This window comes from Homo sapiens, chromosome 16, assembly GCF_000001405.40.
Source record: "Homo sapiens chromosome 16, GRCh38.p14 Primary Assembly".
Classification (NCBI taxonomy): Eukaryota; Metazoa; Chordata; class Mammalia; order Primates; family Hominidae; genus Homo; species Homo sapiens.
Genome location: NC_000016.10, coordinates 413,335 through 430,021, shown reverse-complemented (window position 1 = coordinate 430,021; position 16,687 = coordinate 413,335). Strand labels below are relative to the sequence as shown.

At 53.1% G+C, this 16,687-nt stretch overlaps 1 protein-coding gene across 6 annotated transcripts in view; it reads right to left on the bottom strand.

The window, feature by feature from the left end:
* The window catches only part of RAB11FIP3 (RAB11 family interacting protein 3), a 97,363-nt gene extending 92,990 nt beyond the window's left edge, over window positions 1-4,373 (bottom strand). For all 6 annotated transcript variants that reach the window (NM_001370401.1, NM_014700.4, XM_017023907.2 and 3 more), the window contains exon 1: window positions 3,302-4,373. In NM_001370401.1, the coding sequence (NP_001357330.1) occupies window positions 3,302-4,015 (714 nt within the window). In that variant the 5' untranslated portion in view covers window positions 4,016-4,373. The remainder of the gene's footprint in view (window positions 1-3,301) is intronic.
* Window positions 4,374-16,687: the final 12,314 nt, after the last annotated feature.

Below are 16,687 nucleotides of genomic sequence, written 5' to 3'. Positions count from 1 at the left end.
ACTACACCTGATCTATCACCAGATGACGTAATTAGATCCAAACACACCATGACATTGCTAAAGAAACAGGGACACAAAAGCCATCTGTATTATAAACAGGAGCTGCTTCTATTAAAAATTCAGATAATCCATTTAAATAATTTAAAATGCTACCTTCATAAACAGATTACATAGAAGATACTCAATATGCTACCTCTGAAAATTTGATAAAAATTAAGATACTTGGCCGGGCACAGTGGCTCATGCCTGTAATCCCAGCACTTTGGGAGGCCGAGGCGGGTGGATCACCTGAGGTCAAGAGTTCAAGACCAGCCTGGCCAACATGGCAAAACCGTCTCTACTAAAAATACAAAAAATAGCCAGGTGTGGTGACGGGCACCGGTAATCCCAGCTACTCGGGAGGCTGAAGCAGGAGAATCGCTTGAACCCGGGAGGCAGAGGTTGCAGTGAGCCGAGATCACACCATTGCACTCCAGCCTGGGCGACAGAGCAGGCGAGACTCCATCTCAAAAAAAAAAAAAAATTAAGATAATCTAGTTGTTATCATCAAGGACAGTAATGTGACTGGACTAAGAGTCTCTCATGTGCTCAATATTTTGAAATCTCAAGGTAGAAAGTACAAAAACTTATGACCTTTATTGCTGTTATCCAGTTAATCTGAACTGTTCCCTAGCGTTTTTAAAAAAATCATTAATGTCTTTAAAAGAATCGGTATCTTTTGGAAATATATACTGAAGCATTTATGGAAGAAATGATATAATGTCAGGAACCCACTTCAAAAATCATCTGGGGGTAGTGAGTGGTGAGTTTACAGATGAACCAAGACTGCTAAAACTGAGCAATGGCTACAGGGTTACATAACATGAAAATCAACCTTTCTTTACCCTGTAAATTATCTGTTGCCAAACAGTAACTTAGCTTTAAGAAATCAAGAGCTCTCCTCCATCCCAGGAAGCCGGCCCAAGTCCAGGCACTCAGATCACACCCAACATTGCTTCTTCCTAAGCCGTCTAGAAGAACAGACAAGGAGTAATACCACAGGAGATCCCTTCCACTTCCCCATCCTCACCAAATCCCAAGTCATCCAGCCCTTGCCCCCAACCTTCGAATTTCATCAAGAGCTCTTGGAATTCAGAGTGAAGAATTTTGTCTCATTTCTACTTTGTGATGACAAGAAAGCTCAGCCCCAAATAGCAACACAAAGTTTTTCCCATTGTGATCATTAAGGGAGGTTATGACAAAAGATGTTTCTCAAATAAAAAGAATTGTATGAAAGTCAGTAAGATATTATCACAATAGGGATATTGTGAGCCACCACATCTAAGAAGAGGCATCTAAGGTCTAAGGGCCAAAAGACCTAGTTCTACTCCTGTGAGACCTTGGGAGAGCTATCTGACCTTTCTGGGTTTCCAGTTTCTTACCTGTAAAGTGGGGATGAATCCTGCTTACCTACTATCTCAGAGAACTGTGGTATGATCCAGTGGAAACATCCTGAGCCTCACAGAAGTTCTCTATCAAGAGTTGGGTTATGGTAACAAGGAGCAAATGTGGTACTCTCCTAACTTCTTTGCTGTACTGAAGCAAGAGTATGTTTGGGAGAAGAGACAGCGCAGTAGCCAACAGCAACCAAGGGAGCTCAAGGTGCTCTCCAGCCCAGGGGCAAGAAGGAAACGCAGCAAAACACCTGGACCAGCAACCACCATCCACGCTGACCATACAGGAAAGTATCAGTCACATATTTCACTGCCCATTAGTGTAGGTGGAAAACTACCCTGACAATATCCCAACCGGAGCTAAGCTTGCGAGCATTGCAGGCTGCCCCGCACGCACCTGTCTGCACATCTTCTTAATGTGAACTCAGCAAGGAACCCTGATTTATCAGGACCCTGTGTTTTTTGTTTTGTTGCTGTTTTTTTTTTTTGAGACGAAGTCTCGCTCTGTCGCCCAGGCTGGAGTGCAGTGGCGCGATCTCCGCTCACTGCAAGCTCCGCCTCCCGGGTTCACGCCATTCTCCTGCCTCAGCCTCCCGAGTAGCTAGGAGTACAGGTGCCCGCCACCACGCCCGACTAATTTTTTTGTATTTTTTAGTGGAGACGGGGTTTCACCATATTAGCCAGGATGGTCTCAATCTCCTGACCTCGTGATCCGCCCGCCTCGGCCTCCTAAAGTGCTGGGATTACAGGCATGAGCCACCGCGCCCGACCATCAAGGTTCTTAATGTTATGACTGACACCCTAAATAGCAGTGTGCCAATTTTACCTCTTTTCTTACAGACCTCTTGGCTTAAACATGCATATGTACTTGAACACCCACTTACCAGATGTCTGCATGTGTGAGAAGTCAAAATACAAAAAATTGACAGATGCACCTTAGGGATTTCCTGCTAAGTAAAATATTTAAAAGTGAGCACTGGTATTATTTGATGTCCACCGGGTTATTGGCAGAACACACACGGCCCTGCTGTTATCTCCACTTAAACTTTATTAAGTGCTGAGGTAGACAGGAACAACTGCATCTTGGGGCCCACCTTTCCCCCAGGAGCAGGTGCCCTGAGGACCGCGTGGACCCCTTCCACACTGTACTGTGCGTAGTGCCTGTCCACGCATTTCACCTCTCCTACGAGAGTGGACGTGGCCCTAACGGAGTTCTGCTAGACTTCTGCATTTGCCAACAAGCTCCGAGGCTCATTGCCTTCCTCCCCAAAGGCACCAAAGTAAAAATTCTTAATTCCAGGACTCTCTACAAGCATTGACTGTCTCCCAAATAAAAGATGAAATCTAAGTAGAAAAGATGTCAACCACACACAGTAAAGTAATTGTACTCAAAATAGGTGTCTATCAGTAGGATCTCAAGGCGTCTGGGCAGCCTGGCCTCTGCGGCTAGAACTTGGGTGAATTCAGCCGAGCAGTATCTGGGCCCTCGGGTGGGGGAATCGCGGGGAACTTCTTCATTCAGGGGCACGTCGATCAGGCACCCTGGGGGGGTGGCGATCAGGCCCCCTGGGGGGGTGTCCCCAGGCGAGGAGCTGACCTCGGTAAGATCCAGCTGACGAGGCGCTGGGGGGAGGGGAAGAAACTGACTCCCCAGAATAGAACCTCCTTTTAAGAAGGGAAGAGGGACTCCAGCGCAATTCAACCAGAAATCCAGGGCCGAAGTGGTGAATAAGCAGAAAAAGCAGGACCGTCAGGTCTTGACAGTGCCTTTCCCGACTCCAGGGGCAGCGTCGACCGGTCCCACATCAACCCCGCCGGCCAGCGCGCACCTGCCCAGTTCCCACGCCCCGGCCCGGGCCGCTCCGTACCTGCTCTGCCCCGTAGACCGTAGCAAACTGGATGAAGTCCTCGATGCGGACGAAACCGTCCCCATCCCCGTCCAGGGCATCGAACACGGCTCGGAGGCGGGGGCCGTCCTCCTGACTCCCCACGGGCTCGCTCGGAAGGGGGTGGGTCTGGCTGAGGTCCGAGGGCTGCGGCGGGGACCCGGGACCTTGCTCCAGCGCCAGCTCGCCCGCCGTGGGCGCGGGGAAGGGAGAGAAGACGTCGACCTCGCCCCGCGCTCGGTGGCTGCTGCTGGACCCCTGCAAGCGGAAAGGCGCGCTCTCCGGGCAGCTCGCGGGGCCACACTCCTCGGGCTCCTCAGTCCAGGAGAACAACGGGTCGAGTTCTGGAAGCGGCGCTTCGGAGCGCGGCCCTGGGCCCGGGGCGTCGGGGCTCGCAAGCTGCCCCCGCGGGCCGGAGCGCGGCGGCGGGGCGGACGGCCCGGGGTCTCGCGGGCCTCCCTCCAGCCCCGGGGCCGGCCCGGCGCTCCAACGCGCCCCGCCATCTGCAGCGGCCCCGGGCGCAGGCTCATCCAGGCCCGGGGACTGCGGGTCGGGGCCGCCGACGGGCGCTCCGAGGCGTAGCTCCGCAGGGCCCGGAGCCAGTTGTGCCGCCCCCGGCCCGTCCGGCCCGCCCGGCTCCGGGTCGGGCCCCGGCGGCTCCGAGCCCGGGGGCGAGGCCGGCGGGGCCGACGCCATGCTCCCGAGAGGCTAGTGGTGCGGAAGGGCGCGGGCGGCAGACAAAGGCGCTCAGGGCGCGGCGGCGGGCGCGGGCATCCCCTCGGCGGCGCGGGCGGGCGCGCGCGGGGCGCCCGGGCTGCTGGGGCTGGCGCTCGGGCCCTGCTCTGTCCTCGCCCATCTTCGCACCGCGCCTCAGCTGCCCTCGGCCCGGCGGCGCGGCGGGCGCAGGCCCATGGCGGCGGGGCGGCCTAGGGAGGGCGGCGAGGATCCGGGCGGCGGATGGCGGGGGACGGGGGCCGAGGAGGCCGGGGGACGGGGGCCGAGGAGGCCGGAGGCCGCGGAGCCTGTGAAGCAGGATGAGGAGACTAAGGAGGCTGAGGCGCCTGAGGTACCCGGAGAACTAACGCCGCCGCCGCCCAGGCCCCGCCCCCCGTCGGGCCTGACGTCAGCACGTCCCGGCGGGGTCCCAGCCCCTCGCCGGCTTGCTGTAGAGGCAGGCGCCGGGTGTGTCGCGGCAGTGCAGCGGCCGCGAAGGGGTGTTTTGCTGTATGTCATATTCCTCGTTTCGCCAGAGCGGGGGTCCCGAGCTTCGGGCGCGGGACGCGGGGGTGCTCCGAGGCTGCGAGTGGAGGCGTGACGTGACGTCCCTGGCAAGAGGCGCGCGGAGTCAGGCCTTACTTAGAACGTGTTCCCGCCGCACAGCTACCAGCGGGCGCGACCGCTACCCACGCATGGTGCGGTCGAGTAAACGGCACCGCCTGGCGAGCGAGAGACGCAAAGGGACATAGCCCCCTAGGAGCTGAGCTCTTCGGGGGTAAAGCGTTCTCACGTTGATGAGACCAGGAGGCGGCGCACGCCTGGCTCCGCGGCCCAGGGGTTGCAGGTGCCCCAGGGTTCGCGGGGCGCAGACGCCGCAGAGGGCGACGCCCTGCCCGGGTCCCGCGCGGACCCGGGGGACGCAGGGTCTGACACGGAGTGCGGAGGGGCCCCAGACACGCAGTCCATGTCCCTTGAAACCAGAGGCACGCGCGGCCACGCGCTAGGCCTTTCCCTTAAGCCTGTGACCAAGATCTCCGGGACTCCCAGCGTTGGGACGGGCGCGCTGGCCCACGCCCAAGCGGGAGGATCGCTTGCGCCCAGGAGATTGAGACCAGCCTGAGCACCAAAGCGAGACCTCGTCTCTACAAAAAATAAGACTCAAGAAGACACCCAGGGTGAATCGCCCGTCTGCAGCCAGCCTCCCGAGCACCGTGGCCGCGTCTGACAACTGACCTCTGTGTCTGGGTGTCCCTGTCCTCAGAGGGACACGGGACCTCAGAAAGGACCACAGCCCGGCGGCAGGCATGATGGTGGGAAAGCTAGTTAGGACAGGTGAGGCACTAAATTTAGCCTGTCATAATTTGTATCAGGGAAATGATGAACTTGTATTTTTACACACCATGGGCACCAACACAAGATATGGTTTCGTAAGCAGCTTTGGCAAGAACCAAAGGAACGGAACCTCTGCTTCCAAGTGTACGGTCAGGAGCAGCGTGTTAATTAAGTGAGTCATCTTCCGTGGCAGAATCCCAGGGTACATGGGACCAGACTTCGCGAGGCTGGCATTAGGAAAAGGAATGTGAGGGATCCTCCTCCCCAAACCGTATTCTCATTTTCTTGTAAGAGCTGTACGTGTTCATGAGGAAGATACTGCATTCAAAGAACGAAATCACCAGCAGCTTTGGCAAGAATTCAAATTTGGGCTGATGCCTTCGGCCGGATAAAATTTTCAGAAGCAGTGATAGTGATGTGTCAACCTTTCTAAATAGGGGTGTTAGTGTGGGCGAGGCAGAGACAGCAGGCTCCCTCTGCTTTTATGTGCCGGCGCTGCCAGAGGCAGAAGGCTGGCTTTCTGAGAGCAGGGGCCCGCACGCTCTGTCTGTGCTAGGGCTGGAAAACGTCCATTGCGTGCCCGGCTGGTGTCCTCCATGGAACCACAGCCTGGAAGCCTGCACCTCCCTGCCTGGACCAGTTAGAGGCTGTTCATGAAAGACTAAAGGGACAAGTTCCCGTCTATCCGTCTGCTGTTCAGAGCTACTATCTGTGTCCCCTTTGTAGGCTGTGGGCTGTAGCAGTTCCTTCTTTTCTTTTCTTTTCTTTTTTTTCCCCGAGACAGGGTTTTGCTCTGTTGCCCAGGCTGCAGTGCAGTGGTGCGACCATAGCTCACGGCAGCCTCAACCTCCTAGGCTCAAGAGATCCTCCCACCTTAGGCCAGGTGTGGTAGCTCATGCCTGTAATCCCAGGACTGTGGGAGGCTGAGGCGGGCGGATCACGAGGTCAGAAAATGGAGACCATCCTGGCTAACACGGTGAAACCCCGTCTCTACTAAAAATACAAAAAAACAAAAATTAGCCAGGTGTGGTGGCAGGCACCTGTAGTCCCAGCTATTTGGGAGGCTGAGGCAGGAGAAAGGCGTGAACCCGGGAGGCAGAGCTTGCAGCGAGCCAAGATTGCACCATTGCACTCCAGCCTGGATGATAGAGCAAGACTCCGTCTCCAAAATAAAAAATAAAAATAGAAGAGAGATCCTCCCACCTCAGCCTCTCCAGTAGCTGAGACCACAGATCTGCAGCACCTTATTATCTTTTTTTTTTTTTTGATATGGAGTCTCACTCTGTCGCCCAGGCTGGAGTGCAATGGCGCGATCTCTGGTCACTGCAACCTCCGCCTCCCGGGTTCAAGTGATTCCCCTACCTCAGCCTCCTGAGTAGCTGGGATTACAGGCGTATGCCACCAAGGCCGGCTAATTTTTTGTATTTTTAGTAGAGACCGGGGTTTCACCATGTTGGTCAAGCTGGTCTCAAACTCCTGACCTCAAGTGATCCGCCCACCTCGGCCTCCCAAAGTGCTGGGATTATTGGCATGAGTCACCACACTTGGCCTCAACATGCGTTTTGGAGGGTATAAACATTCAAAGCATAGCCTCCATCTTCTCACTCTGTCCTCACATGTTGGAGAAAGATTGTCTCTTTTGGGCTGGGCGTGGGAGCTCATGCCTGTAATTCCAGCACTTTGGGAGGCCGAGGCGGGTGGATCACGAGGTCAGGAGTTCAAGACCAGCCTGGCCAAGATGGTGAAACCCCGTATCTACTAAAAAATAGAAAATTTAGGCCGGGCGCGGTTGCTCAGCCTATAATCCCAGCACTTTGGGAGGCAAGGTGGGCGGATCACAAGGTCAAGAGATCGAAAACATCCTGGCAAACATGGTGAAACCCTGTCTCTACTAAAAATACAAAAATTAGCCGGGTGTGGTGGCACCCACCTGTAGTCCCAGCTACTCGGGAGCCTGAGGGAGGAGAATCGCTTGAACCTGGGAGGCAGAGGTTGCAGTGAGCGAAGATCGCACCACTGCACTCCAGCCTGGCGACAGAGCGAGACTCCACCTAAAAAATATATGTATATATTAGCCGGCCGTGGTGGCGGGCACCTGTAATCCCAGCTACTCAGGAGGCTGAGGCAAAGAATTGCTTGAACCCGGGAGGTGGAGGTTGCAGTGAGTCAAGATCACACCACTGTACTGCAGCCTGGGTGATGGAGTGAGACTCTGTCTCAAAAAAAAAGAAAAAAAATTATCCGGGGGCGGTGGCGGGTGCGTGTAATCCCAGCTACTCAGGAGGCTGAACAGGGTAATCACTTGAGCCTGGGAGGCAGAGGTTGCAATGAGCTGAGATCCAGCCACTACACTCCAGCCTGGGCAACAGAGCGAGACTATCTCAAAAAAAAAAAAAAGGCGGGCGTAATGGCTCACGCCTGTAATCCCAACACTTTAGGAGGCCAAGGCGGGTGGATAACCTGAGGTCAGGAGTTCGAGACTAGCCTGGCCAACATGGTAAAACCCTGTCTCTACTAAAAATACAAAAACTAGCTGAGCGTGGTGGCGTGTCCTGTAATCCCAGCTACCTGGGAGGCTGAGGCAGGAGAATACTTGAACCCGGGAGGTGGAGGTTGCAGTGAGCCAAGATCCCACCATTGCACTCCAGCCTGGGCAACAAGAGGGAAACTCCATCTCAAGGAAAACAATAAAATAAAAATAAGGCTGGGCACGGTGCCTCACGCCTGTAATCCCAGCACTCTGGGAGACCGATGCGGGTGGATTACCTGAGGTCAGGAGTTCAAGACCAGGCTTGCCATGGTGAAACCCCATCTCTACTAAAAATACAAAAAATTAGCCAGGCATGGTGGTGCATGCCTGTAATCCCAGCTACTTGGGAGGCTGAGGCAGGAGAATCACTAGAACCTGGGAGGCGGAGGTTGCAGTGAATCGAGATTGTGCCATGGCACTCCAGCCTGGGCAGCAAGAGTGAAACTCCGTCTCAAAAAAAGAAAAAAGAAAAAAAAAGACTGTCTCTTCTAATAAGGGCACTGTTCCCATCGTGAGGGCCCCACCTTGCTGACCGTATCTAACCCTAATTATTATTATTATTATTTTTTTTTGAGACGGAGTCTTGCTCTGTCGTCCAGGCTGAAGTGCAATGGCGCCATCTCAGCTCACTGCAATCTCTGCCTCCCGGATTCATGCCATTCTCCTGCCTCAGCCTCCCCAGTAGCTGGGACCACAGGCACCCGCCACCATGCCTGGCTAATTGTTTTGTATTTTTACTAGAGCCGGGGTTTCACCGTGTTAACCAGGATGGTCTCGATCTCCTGAGCTCATGATCCACCCGCCTCGGCATCCCAAAGTGCTGGGATTACAGGCGTGAGCCACCGCGCCCGGCCCTAACCCTAAGTTATACCTCCCAAAGACCTCATCTCCAAATACCATCCCGTTGGCGTTAGGACTCCAATATATAAATTTTGGGGTAGCAACTGGGAAGAGAGAGTTAGAATGGATTTAATGGACAAAATATTCATTTCTAGAATACACAAAAGAATTTCTCAAAAAACAGTAAACGAACAGCAACCCGATAGAAAAACGAGGAAAGAATATGAATAAGCAGCTCCAGAAGAGGAAATTCAGGTGGCCGGTAAACACATGAAAAAGATGCTCATCTTCACTGGTCACCAGGAAAATGTGTGAGTGTAGCCCTTGACACCAATCAGAGTAAGTCTGGGGACACCAGGGAGTGGGGATTTGGCACCAGTCGTGCAGCTGAAGGTCGGAATACTCCAGTGTGGGATCCGCCTTCCAGTACCTGCCGGAGAAACTGCACATGTCCGCAGGGAGATGGAAAGACCTTGTTTCCTTCGGGGATTTGTACTTCTCTGGAAGAAGAGCCGAACGGCTTCAGTGGAGCCTGTTGTCTGTTGTGAAGTGTAGCAGTTTAAGTGAGTGCACCACATCTGCACAATTGATAGTACATGCTATGTAATACCATTTTTCATTTATTTTTTTAGACAGAATTCTGTTCTTGTTGCCCAGGCCGGAGTGCAGTGGCACGGTCTCAGCTCACGGCAGCCTCCATCTCCTGGGTTCAAGCGATTCTCCTGCCTCAGCCTCCCGAGTAGCTGGGATTACAGGTGCCCGCCACCACACCCAGCTAATTTTTGTATTTTTCGTAGAGACGGGGTTGCACCATCTCGGCCAGGCTGATCTGGAACTCCTGACCTCAGGTGATCTGCCCGCCTTGGCTTCCCAAAGTGCTAGGATTACAGGCGTGAGCCAACGTGCCTAGCCAATTTTTGTTAAGTTTAAAAACACATGATCAATGACCTATCTTGTTTTCAAATGCTTTCGTTTGTAGTAAAAAATACCTAAACATACTTGAGAATTACATTGAGGCCGTGTGCGGTGGCTCACACCTGTAATCCCAACTTTGGGAGGCCAATGGGGTGGATCACTTGAGGTCAGGAGTTCAAGACCAGCCTGGCCAAAATACTGAAACCTGTCTCTACAAAAATACAAAAAATTAGCCAGGCATGGTGGCGCATGCCTGTAATCCCAGCTACTGGGGAGGCTGAGGCAGGAGAATTGCTAGAACCCCGGAGACGGAGGTTGCAGTGAGCTGAGATCACACCATTGCACTCCAGCCTGGGTAACAGAGCGAGACTCTGTCTCAAAAAAAAAAAAAAAAAGAAAGAAAGAAAAAAGAATTATATTCAAGAGGACAGACAGAAGAGAAAGGGTGAAGTACAACTTTGACTATATCTATAACATTCATTTCCACTGGGCACAGTGGGTCATGCCTGTAATCCCAGCACTTTGGGAGGCTGAGGCAGGAGGATCACTTAAGCCCAGGAGTTCAAAAAACAAACAAAAAAACATTAGCCAGGTGTGGTGGTGCACACCTGTAGTCCCGGCTACTCAAGAGACTGAGGTGGGAGGAGCTCTTAAGACCCAGAGGTTTTTCTGGATTCCACATATAAATGAGACCATGAAGTCTTCTTTCTCTGACTGGCTTATTTCACTTAGCATAATGCTGGAGTCCAGTAATTTGAAGCTGTAGTGAGCTGTGATTGTGCCTGTGAATAGCCCTGCACTCCAGCCTGGGCAACGGGGCAAAACTCCCTCTCTAAAGTAAGAAAACGTTTAAAAACTTAGCATAGGCCGGGTGCGGTGGCTCACGCCTGTAATCCCAGCACTTTGGGAGGCCAAGGTGGGTGGATCACGAGGTCAGGAGATCAAGACCAGCCTGGCCAATATGGTGAAACCCCATCTCTACTAAAACTACAAAAATTAGCTGGGTGCAGCTGGGCGCTGTGGCTCACACCTGTAATCCTAGCACTTTGGGAGGCCGAGGCGGGTGGATCATGAGGTCAGGAGATCAAGACCATCCTGGCTAACACAGCGAAACCCTGTCTCTACTAAAAATAGAAAAAATTAGCCAGGTGTGGTGGTGGGTGCCTGTAGTCCCAGCTACTTGGGAGGCTGAGGCAGGAGAATCACTTGAACCTGGAAGGCAGAGGTTGCAGTGAGCCAAGGTGGCGCTACTGCACTCCAGCCTGGGCAACAGAGCAAGACTCTGTCTCAAAAAAAAACTTAGTATAATGTCCTCCAGGTTCATCCACGTTGTCACAAATGGCAGTTTCGCTCGTTTCCCGGGCTGGAATGCAATGGTGTGATCCCGGCTCACCGAAACCTCCGCCTCCTGGGTTCAAGAGATTCTCCTGTCTCAGCCTCCCGAGTAGCTGGGATTACAGGCACCTGCTACCACGCCCAGCTAATTTTTGTATTTTTAGTAGAGACAGGGTTTCATCATATTGGTCAGGCTGGTCTCGAACTCCTGACCTCAGGTGATCCGCCCCGTCTTGGCCTCTCAAACAGCTGGGATTACAGGTGTGAGCCACCGTGCCTAGCCTCAATGTCTCCTTTTTTTTAAGGCTGAATAATAAGGCAAATACCTTACATAACTAAATATACAGGCCGGGCGCGGTGGCTCACGCCTGTAATCCCAGCACCTTGGGAGGCTGAGGCAGGTGGATCACGAGGTCAGGAGTTTGAGACCGGCCTGACCAAAGTGGTGAAACCCCGTCTCTACTAAAAATACAAAACTTAGCGGGGCGTGGTGGTGCACGCCTGTAATCCCAGCTACTCAGGAGGCTAAGGCAGGAGAATCACTGGAACCCAGGAGGCGGAGGTTGCAGTGAGCCAAGATCGCGCCACTGCACTCTAGCCTGGGTGACAGAGCGAGACTCCATCTCAAAAAAAAAAATTAAAAAAATAAAACTAAATATACATTGTTTATATGACCCAGCCATTCCACTCCTAGTACCTAGGAGAAATGAAAGTACGTGTCCATGCACCCACTTCTGTACAAATGTTCATAGCAGCTTTACTTGTTATAGCCCAAACCTGCAAGCAACCCAAGTACTCATCAGCAGGTGAATAAACAAACTGGCACATCCACACTGCGGAACACGGCTCAACCCCCAGGAGGACCCGGCGCGGAGCCCGGCTCAACCCTGAAGAGGATTTCACTACTGACACACACGACATCACAGGTGACTCTGGGAGCAATCAGGTTCAGTGAGAGAAGCCGGACAAAAAAGAGTGCGTACCTTATGACTCCACTTACATAAAATCCTAGAAAATACAAACACCAGGCAGGCGCGGTGGCTCACCGCTGTAATCCCCGCACTTCGGGAGGCCGAGGCAGGCACATCACTTGAAGTCAGGAATATGAGACCCGCCTGGCCAACATGGCAAAACCCCATCTCTACTAAAAATACAAAAATTACCCTGGCGTGGTGGCACACGCCTGTAGTCCCAGCTACTCGGGAGGCTGAGGCAACCTGGGAGGCAGAGATTTCAGTGAGCTGAGATCACACCACGGCACTCCAGCCTGGGTGACAGAGACTCCATCTCAAAAAATAAAAATAAAAAACATAAATAGCAACAGAGAGCAAATCAGCAGTCGCTTGGGAAATAAGGGGTAGGGATGGGTGAGAGGGAGGGATTACCAGGTACACGTGCAGCCTGGATAGTGCTGAGGGCTTCACGACGTAGACGCATCAGCCTCATCAAATTACACACTCTACCTATGTGCGGTTTGCCTTGTGTCAACTGTGTATCCATAAAGCTATCAACAAAAACTGCCTGCAAACTATTTTTAACTGACAACTTTTTTTTTTTTTTGGGATGGAGTCTCGCTCTGTTGCCCAGGCTGGAGTGCACTGGCGCGATCTTGGCTCACTGCAACCTACGCCTCCTGGGTTCAAGCGATCCTCCTGCCTCAGCCTCCTGAGTAGCTGGGACTACAGGTGTCCACCACCACGCCCGACTAATTTTTGTATTGTTAGTAGAGATGGAGTTTCACCATGTTGGTCAGGCTGGTCGCGAACTCCTGACCTCAAGTGATCCACCGCCTTGGCCTCCAAAAGTGCTGGAATTATAGGTATGAGCCACTGCACCTGGCCAGACAACTGTGAAAACTACATTAACATTTTATATTCAGTAAATAAACTTAGAGCGAAGTCACCTTTAGGACCAGGTCTCACTCTCCCTTGTGGCCTCCAGCAGTTGAGAGCACAGAGCCTCACTTGTGTTTACTGATATTTTATTCAGTGGGGGAGAATTTGTATTCTCACCTTCAAATTTGGTAAAGTACATGTCTTAGAGTAAAAATGGAACATGAGTGTATAAGGCACAACTGAATTCCTCCTGACTCAGCCCAAGTTTTGATGGTTTTCTTATTTTAACACCTCACTATGAGGCTACGGTGCCTGCTCTGTCTTCCTGGGATGGCCTGGCTGCCCTGGCTCCCACCAGGCCTGGAGCCCTCCAGAGCCCCCGTTCTGCACCCTCAGTGCTCCCTGAGGCCAAACCGCAGCCTGCAGAGGGGCCCTGAGGAGCCAGCAGGAGAGGCTATGCAGAGCTTCGTTTCTCAGCCCCTCTACATTTTCCAAAGCAGCAGCGAAGGGCTAGTTCTCATCACTCTCCTCTTCCCTGTGTAACAGTTTTCCAAGTTACACGTGATGGTCGAAGAGCTGAAAGGTAATTCTTCTTATTTCTGGCGAATATTTCTCATTCTTGCTTGGACAAACACCTGTCAGGTGCAGTCTGGCACCTCCCAGCTGCCTTTGAGGTTTCCCAGGTTCCCTGGCACCAGAGAGCGGCCCTGAGACCCATGCGGTCACTGGAAGGAACTCGGGAACTCACTGAGAACTTAGTAGCAGGGTGTGTGTGTGGGTCATGGCAACACTGGTCAGTGCCAGCCAGAAACCCGTGATGGATGGTCTGCTGACACATTTTCTAGAAGAAGCCTCTCTCCCAGCCCACAGCGTCTGTTGGAGTGGCCACATTCATAAGGTGAGGCCAACCTTCAGCCACTGTTTATTCTTTATTTTTTAATTATTTAATTATTATTATTTTTTGAGACGGAGTTTCACTCTTGTCACCCAGGCTAGAGTACAATGGCGTGATCTTGGCTCACCGCAACCTCTGCCTCCGTCAGGCTGGTCTCGAACTCCTGACCTCGGGTGATCTGCCCGCCTCGGCCTTCCAAAGTGCTTGGATTACAGGCATGAGCCACCGCACCTGGCCGACGCACTATTTTGTATTTATTTATTTTGAGACACAGTCTCGCTCTGTCACCCAGGCTGGAGTGCAGTGGTGCAATCTCCGTTCACCACAACCTCTGCCTCCCGGGTTCAAACAATTCTCGTGAGTAGCTGGGACTACAGGCACGTGCCACCATGCCCAGCTAATTTTTATATTTTTTTAGTAGAGATGGGGTTTTCGCCATGTTGGCCAGGCTGGTCTCAAATTCCTGACCTCAGGTGATCTGCCCGCCTTGGCCTCCCAAAGCATTGGGATTACAGGCGTGAGCCACCATGCCCAGCCTGGTTTTTGTTTTTATTTATTTATTTTTATAGAGACAAGGTCTTGCTATGTTGCCCAGGCTGCTCTTGAATTCTAGGCTCAAGTGATCCACTGACCTTGACCTTCCAAAGTGCTAGGATTACAGGCCTGAACCACCATGCCTGGCTTTTTTTAATTTTTTTTTTTGAGATGGAGTCTTGCTCTGTCACCCAGGGTGGAGTGCAGTCCTGCCATCTCAGCTCACTGCAAGCTCCGCCTCCCAGGTTCAAGCAATTCTCCCGCCTCAGCCTCCCAAGTAGCTGGGATTACAGGCGAGTGCCACCACACCCAGCTAATTTTTGTATTTTTAGTAGAGAGAGGGTTTCACTATATTGTTTCACTGTATTGGCCAGGCTGCTCTCAAACTCCTGATCCACCCGTCTTGGCCTCCCAAAATGCTGGGATTACAGGTGTGAGCCACCATGCCTGGCATTATTTATTTATTTATTTATTTATTTATTTATTTATTCATTAAGATGGAGTCTCATTTTGTTGCCCAGGCTGGTCTTGAACTCCTGGGCTCAAGTGTTTTGCCAGCCTCAGCCTCCCAAATTGCTGGGATTACAGGCGTGAGCCACCATGCCCGGCCCTACCACAGTTCATTGCACAAGAGCCAGATTTCTAGCCCCAAAGGTGAACTTGCATCTTTCCTCAGGAATGTGGATGTGAGGCCAGCAGAAGGAATGCTGTCCCTCTCTTCAGTGGCTGGGCCACGACTTGTGGAGGCGGCTGCTGGGGCTGGGATCTGGAGGCAGCAGGGCAGGCCCAGGCTCACAGAGGCTGGTGGAGGGAAGGGAAGGAGGGAAGATACTCCCGGCCCAGGGCCCCGCATCCCAGCTTCCTCGCTGAGCTCCACCACATCCCTCCCTCAGAGCCTGTGGAGGGACCCAGGATCTGCCTTTGAGGTTCCCCAGGTTCCCTGGCACCAGAGGGGGTCCCGAAGCCCATGCAGTCACTGGAAGGAATTCGCTGAGCACTTAGCACACAGGGTGTGTGTGGGTCGTGGCCATGCTGGTCGGTGCCAGTCAGGAACCCACAATGGATGGTCTGCTGACACATTTTCTGGAAGCAGCCCCTCTCCCAGGCCACGGCAGCTGTGGGAGTGGCCACATTCATAAGGTGAGGCCAACCCTCAGCCACCTAAAAAGCCAACTCAGCAGTTATAAGCTCCACACTGTATTTTCCAAACGGGGCAGGAGTCAACTACAATATACAGATCTTCTCTCCACCTCGGCCAGGCGCCGTGGCTCACGCCTGCAGTCCTGAGGCGGGCAGATCACACGAGGCCAGGAGTTCAAGACCAGCCTGGGCAGCCGGGCGTGGTGGCTTACGCCTGTAATTCCAGCACTTTAGGAGGACGAGGTAGGTGGATTGCCTGAGCTCAGGAGTTTGAGACCAGCCTGGGCAACACTGTGAAACCTCGTCTCTAGTAAAATACAAAAAATTAGCTGGGTGTGGTGGCATGCACCTGTAGGCCCAGCTACTTGGGAGGCTGAGGCAGGAGAATCACTTGAACCCAGGAGGCAGAGGGTGCAGTGAGCTGAGATGGCGCCACTGCACTCCAGCCTGGGTGACAGAGCGAGACTCCATCTCAAAAAAAAAAAAAAAAAACAAGACCAGCCTGGGCAACATGGCAAGACCTTGTCTCTACAAAAAATACAAAAAACATCCAGGCATGGCGGTGTGTGCCTGTGGTCCCAGGTACCCAGGAGGCTGAGGTGGGAGGATCGCTTTAGCCCAGGAGTTTGGAGGGTGCAGTGAGTTATGTTTGTGCCACTGCACTCCAGCCTGGCTGACAGAGCCAGACCCTGTCTCTGACAAAAACAAAACAAAACAAAAAACAAATCTTTTTTCCTCCTTGTCAGGAAGTAAAAGCCTGAATACATTCAGGGTCTGGTGTGACAGTGAGCTGGGAGCTCGGAGGAACAGAGTGGGGACCGCAGGGCTGAGGGGCATACCTGATGGGAGCTGCTCCCCTCCTGTGAGGGCAGCCATGGGGGCCCTGGTGGGCACAGCCACACACCTCCCTCCAGCCTCCTGCTGCTCAGCACCTCCCACGTGCAGCAGGGCTGGGGGCCATGTCGACAGAGGAGGAAAGCTGTGGCAGTGACCAAACCCAGGAGAGAGGCAACCAGTGGCCTGGCTGGTCCTGGGCCCAACATTCAGTGTCGGCTGCATCTGAGCACGCGGCCTCTGCCAAGAGAGCAGCACCCTGCCTGTAGACTGGGGCTTCCAGCATGAGGCAGGAAGAGTGTTCTAAACGTCACAGAAGGCCTGGCGTGGTGGCTCACGCCTGTGATCCCAGCACTTTGGGAGGCTGAGGCGGGCGGATCACCTGAGGTTGGGAGTTCAAGACCAGCCTGGGCTAACATGGTGAAACCCCGTCTCTACTAAAAATACAAAATTAGCCGGTC